Consider the following 6,196-nt stretch of genomic DNA (forward strand, 5'->3'; position numbering starts at 1 on the left):
GCTGAGGCAGGTGGATCACAAGGTCAAGAATTCAACACCAGCCTGGCCAAGATGGTGAATCCCCAACTCTACTAAAAAATACAAAAATTAGCCAGGCACCGTGGCAGGCACCTGTGATCCTAGCTACTTGGGAGGCTGAAGCAGGAGAATCGCTTGAACCCAGGAGGCAGAGGTTGCAGTGAGCTGGGATCTCACCACCGCACTCCAGCCTGGGCAATAGAGTGAGAATCTGTCTCAAAAAAAAAAAAAAATGGAGAAACTCCATCTCTATTAAAAATACAAAATTAGCCAGGCATGGTGACACATGCCTGTAATCCCAGCTGCTTGGGAGGCTGAGGCAAGAGAATTGCTTGAACCTGGGAGGCAGAGATTTCGGGGAGGTGGAGGTTGAGGTGAGCCAAGATCATGGCATTGCACTACAGCCTGGGCAACAAGAGTAAAACTCTGTCTAAAAAAACAAAGAAACAAACAAAACAAAACAAAGAAAAATACACACAATTTATTTCCTGGTTTGTGATAATCTGTGAAATATATTTTGAAATGAATTGGAATTCAATACAGTACTATTCACACCCCAAATACTCCTAATATTTCCTTTCCCAGATGATGACCTGGTACTCTTCCTAGGGCTTGACTTCTCCCTGTGGGTCCCCAGTACAAGTATTTGTGATTCTGAGTCAATTCATTGTCTACATGTGTGACAATGCAATGCTCTTGTTGTAGAGTACCAAGAAGAGTCAGGTCCAAACTGCACATTTGTAGAGAACACAGTATATGTGCAATTGAACATGTATGTGGTTGTGATACTGAAAACAATACAAACACAGGCCAGGTGCAATGGCTGATGCCTGTAATCTTAGCACTTTGGGAGGCCGAGGCATGGAGATCACCTGAGGTCAGGAGTTTGAGACCAGCCTGGCCAACCTGCTGAAACCCCGTCTCTACTAAAAGTACAAAAAATCAGCTGGGCGTGGTGGCAGGCACCTGTAATTCCACCTACTCGGGAGGCTGAGGCAGGAGAATCACTTGAACCCAGGAGGTTCAAGTGAGCCAAGATCACACCACTGCATTCCAGCCTGGGTGACAAGAGTGAAACTGCATCAAAAAAACAAAACAAAACAAAACAAAGCAAAACAAAACATCGGCCTTGGGCATTTCTTTAGGTTGGCTCCTGTGTTCTATTTATAGCATGCCTTTATCCGGGGGTTGGGGTGTGGGACTTATTCCCAACTTTCTGGCACCATAAAGTGTTTTGATTCATCTGGTATTTTCCCTGACCCAGACGTGGAATAAACTATTTATTTAAAGATTCTTTGTTTCTTTTATTGAAAAGTATTATTTACAAAGCACCAAAATCTTGGGGTGGGTGAGGTGGCTCAGGTCTGTAATCTCAACAGTTTGGGAGGCTGAGGCAGGAGGATCCCTTGAGGCCAAGATTTTGAGACAAGCTTGGGCAACACAGTGATACCCCCATCTCTATTTTTAAAAACCAAACAAAAAATCGCCAAGATCGGGGTGACACGTGTGCTCATTGCTATGGGTGTGTCATTGCTTCTAGGCCCTCTTAGTGGGCAGAACTAGGAAATATATTGTACGTATACTAACACACATGCCACATGCCTAATTTGTATATTTATTTAGCCTTACTGGAAGCATTTTTTTTTTTTTTTGAGACAGGGTCTCACTCTGTCACCTAGGCTGGAGAGCAGTGGCATAATCTCAGCTCAATGTAACCTCCACCTCCCAGGTTCAAGAGATTCTCCTGTCTCAACCTCCAGAGTAGTTGGGACTACAGGTGCATGCCACCATGCCAGGCTAATTTTTGTGTTTTAGTTGAGACAGGGTTTCACCATGTTGGCCAGGCTGGTCTGGAACTCCTAACCTCAGCGGATCTGCCCCCCTTGGCCTCCCAAAGTGCTAGAATTACAGGCATGGACCTCTGTGCCTGGCCAAGCATTCTTAATGGGAGTGATATTGCCCCTAAGAGGGTGAACATTGGTTATTGAAGGTAAAATGAATTATAGTTGTTGCAATGGTTTGTGGCCTTCCACAATTTTATTTTATTTTTTTTATTTTTTTTTTATTTTTTGGAGATAGAGGCTCACTCTGCTGCCCAGACTGGAGTGTGGTGTTGCAAACTTTGCTCACTGCAACCTCCGCCTCCTGGGTTCAAGCGATTCTCCTGCCTCAGTCTCCCAAGTAGCTGGGATTACTGGCATACACCACCACACTCAGCTAATTTTTGTATTTTTTGTAGAGACGGAGTTTCACCATGTTGGCCAGGCTGGTCTAGAACTACTGATCTCAAGTGATCTGCCTGCCTCAGCCTCCCAAAGTGCTGGGATTACAGGTATGAGCCACCGTGCCTGGCCTATTGCACAAAATTTTACTCCCTGGTATTTAATTTCTCTCAAATATTTTGGGCAACATTAATCATTTTATGGAAGATAAAAAATCCATGCAAGATCAGGCCATGCACAGTGGCTCACACCTGTAATCTCAGCACTGTGGGAGGCCAAGGAAGGTGGATCACTGAAATTCGGGAGTTCAAGAGCAGCCTGGCCAACATAGTAAAACCCTGTGTCAACTAAAAATACAAAAAAATTACCCAGAAGTGGTGGCACCTGCCTGTAATCCCAGCTACATGGGAGGCTGAAGCAGGAAAATCGATGGAACCCAGGAGGCAGAGGTGTCTGTGAGTGGATCGTGCCACCGCCCTTCATCCTGGGTGACAGAGTGAGCCTCCACCTCAAAAAAAAAAAAAAAAAAATCTTTGCAAGATCAGTGCTACAAAATGATGGGAAATCGATGGCTATATCTGGAAGACTTTTTCTTGATTGAATGCTCTATCCCAAAGTTATATGCGAGGTGGTCTGTGTGTGCCTATTGGCTGCCTTGTGGATGGTATTTATGATTGATCCTCAGTACTTTTGGAATTATGTAAAATAGTTTATATTATGAAAGTAATTCAACCTAGTATTAATTGTGTTAAGTATTGAAAATGAAAAGTGTTGACTACATCTGAATGAATGAATATCTGGTCAACTGGTTTTTTGTTTGTTTGTTTGTTTGTTTGTTTGTTTTTGTTTTTAGAGATGGAGACTCACTCTGTTGCCCAGGCTGGAATGCAGTGGCATGATCTTGGCTCACTGCAACCTCCACCTCCTGGGTTCTAGCAAGTCTCCTGTCTCAGCCTCCTGTGTAGCAGGGACTACAGGTACATGCCGCCACACCCAGCTAATTTTTTGTATTTTAGTAAAGAGGGGGTTTCACCCTGTTGCCCAGGCTGGTCTCGAAATCCTGAGTTCAGGCAATCCACCCACCTCAGCCTCCCAAAGTGCTAGGAGTACAGTTGTGAGACACCGCGCCCAGCCTAGCTTACGGTTTTATTGAAAACCCCATTTAACTCAAAACAGCTCGTTCCTTATGAGTAATAGTTTTTGTTTGTTTCTTTTATGTTTGTTTTTACAAACGGCTATGAAATCATCAAGAATTGTGGATCATCAAAAAAAGAAACATCCTGATAAAGTCAAGAAACAGAATATTTAAAACGTTTAAAATAGAATTTTGAACTGTAACACTGTTACTTCTTATTTAAGAAGGACACGCCACAGGGTGAGGTGGCTCACACCTGTAATCCCAACACTTTGGGAGGCTGAGGTGGGTGTATCACGTGAGCCCAGGAGTTGGAGACCAGCCTGGGTAATACGGTGAAACCTTGTCTCTACTAAAAACACAAAAACTAGCCGGGCATGGTGTGTGCACCTGTAATTCGAGGTACTCAGGAGGCTGAGGCAGGAGACTCGCTTCAACCTTAGAGGCAGAGGATGCAGTGAGCCCAGATTGTAGCACCATGCTCCAGCCTGGACTATAGAGCAACACTCGGTCTCAAAAAAAAAAAAAAAAAAAAGAATAAGCAAACAAATTATGATGAAATAATTGCCTTATAAAATTGCAGAAATAGGCCAGATGTGGTGACTCACGCCTGTAATCCCAGCAATTTGGGAGGCTGAGGTAGGCGCATCACCTGAGGTCGGGAGTTTGAGACCAGTCTGGCCAACATGGTGAAACCCCGTCTCTATTAAAAATACAAAGTTAGCCGGGTGTGGTGGCACACGCCTGTAATCCCAGCTACTCGGGAGGCTGAAGCAGGAGAATCACTTGAGCCCTGGAGACGGAGTTTGCAGTGAGCTGAGATCATGCCACTGCACTCCAGCCTGGCTAACAGAGCGAGACTCTCTCAAAAAAAAAAAAAAAAAAGAAAGAAAAGAAAAGATTACAGAAATCATTATAAAACCCCATAGTGCTTTATACTTGCTGAAACTGTCATAGGACTCACATTAGAGACGGTAACTTCAATAATGATGTAACACATTGCCACTATTTCACAATCACTCCTATTGAGCAATAATTTAATTCAAAGATGCATTAATGAGATGTCAGGTAGTACCAAAGAGTAGCTGATTAATCAAGTAAGTTTCCTATTCAGATCAATGAAATCAGTTACTGAAAGTAAGGCCTGACAATAGGACATGTTTGTTATTTAAATAATGGCTGCAAACTAGAAGAAGAGATATTGTTTGTAAAATCTTTAGACGCTGACCCTACCAGAACATCTATTCTTGCTGCTGTAAAATCTTGGTTTGGGGCTGGGTGCAGTGGCTCACGTCTGTAATCTCAGCACTATCATTTTCTCATATGAATCGGAAAATGCCGATCTCTGCATCCTAAATCTAAACTAATTTCCCATTCACTTGCTAAGCTTCAGTCACACCAGGCTGCTTTCTATTTCCGGAACGCTCCAAGCGCTCTCTGATTTTTCAGGATCTTCAGTGTAACTGTGCCTCTGTTTGGAATACCCTTCCACACTGCTGGCTCCTCACCACCAAAGCTCGAGGGTTATCTCTCAGACACGCGTCCTATCAATGCTACAGGAAGTATCCCTCAAGTTACTGCTTATACCACCTATTGACTTATTTCATAGTATTTATCACAATATAAAATTACTTCATTTTCCACTTTTAATTTAAAATCTTTTTTTTTCTCCAGACTAGAATGTAAACCTCATGTGGGCAGCAGACATGTCTGCTTACCTTTTTTTTTTTTTTTGAGACGGAGTCTCGCTCTGTCACCCAGGCTGGAGTGCAACGGCGCGATCCCGGCTCACTGCAACCTCCACCTCCCAGGTTCAAGCGATTCTGCTGCCCCAGCCTTCCAAGAAGCTGAGATTACAGGCGCCCACCAGGCCCGGCTAATTTTTGTATTTTTAGTAGGGGAGCAGTCGGGCTCTGGACTACATTTCCCGGAGGATTCTGCAGGCCAATACCACGTCTTGCGAGATTTCGGCTTCCTCTTAGCCAGGTGGCAGAATCTTTCGCTGTGCGCAATTAGCTGCTGCCGCGCCTTGGAGTCCGTAGTAACTTGGCCAGGCTGGCCCCGAACGGAACTAGAGAAAGCTGAGGATGAGGAATCCAGCTTCGGTCCTTTTGTGTGTGGAGGGCTGAGGAGAGGAGTTTGCGTGTGTGATTGCGATGGTTGCCGTGGGTCTTCGTGGTCTGTGACTGTGGCTGTGTGGTGCTGACTCTGTGTGATCAGATGGGCGCTTGTGACTGTGCGCGCTCCGACTGGATGTGTGTGTCCTGGACGAGCCGCGTTGTGTGTACGGATGTGGACAACCAGTGACTGTGTGGTTCGGACTGCGTGTCCCAGGGTGGGTGTGTGACTTTGCGTGTGTGTGCAGTACTGTGTGTGCGTGAGTTGCAGGTCTGTGGCTGTGCAGGTGCAACTTGTGTGGCCCCGCAGGTGCAACTTGTGTGGCCCCGTGGTCTCTGTGACAGAGGAGAGTGTGATTGGCTGTGAGGCAGAGGGTAAGCGGATATAGGGAGGCCTGTGTGCGATTGGAACTTTGTGTGTCCCCTTGAGAGAAAAAAACCCTTTAGGGAGTTAGGGCAGGTCCTTGGTAAAACTCCTTTAAACAGAGAAACAGCCTGAAAAATCAGGCTGCAGGCACAGAGAAGGAAAACTAGCAAAGCGGGTTGTCCTAAAGACAATTCCTCAGCTGCATTGATAAGGGACCGAGGCCCAACATAGAAATGCCTTTGTCCTTTGTGTGACCAGCGGGCTTCCAGGAAATAGTCGCTTTTTTGTGGGCTCTGTTAGATTTTGAAGGGAAGGTGAAGGTTAAAGAAAGAGAGAG

The 6,196-nt window shown here is 45.1% G+C and overlaps 1 annotated feature.

The window, feature by feature from the left end:
* Nucleotides 5,159-5,660: an enhancer, noted in NCBI's record as "H3K4me1 hESC enhancer chr12:37959881-37960382 (GRCh37/hg19 assembly coordinates)". NCBI's record gives its function as "activates a minimal SCP1, AML or CMV promoter by ChIP-STARR-seq in naive H9 embryonic stem cells {active_cell/tissue: H9 hESC(naive)}" and the evidence as "EXISTENCE:reporter gene assay evidence [ECO:0000049][PMID:30033119]".

The sequence above is a fragment of the Homo sapiens genome, chromosome 12 (genome assembly GCF_000001405.40).
Source record: "Homo sapiens chromosome 12, GRCh38.p14 Primary Assembly".
NCBI classification, from domain to species: domain Eukaryota; kingdom Metazoa; phylum Chordata; class Mammalia; order Primates; family Hominidae; genus Homo; species Homo sapiens.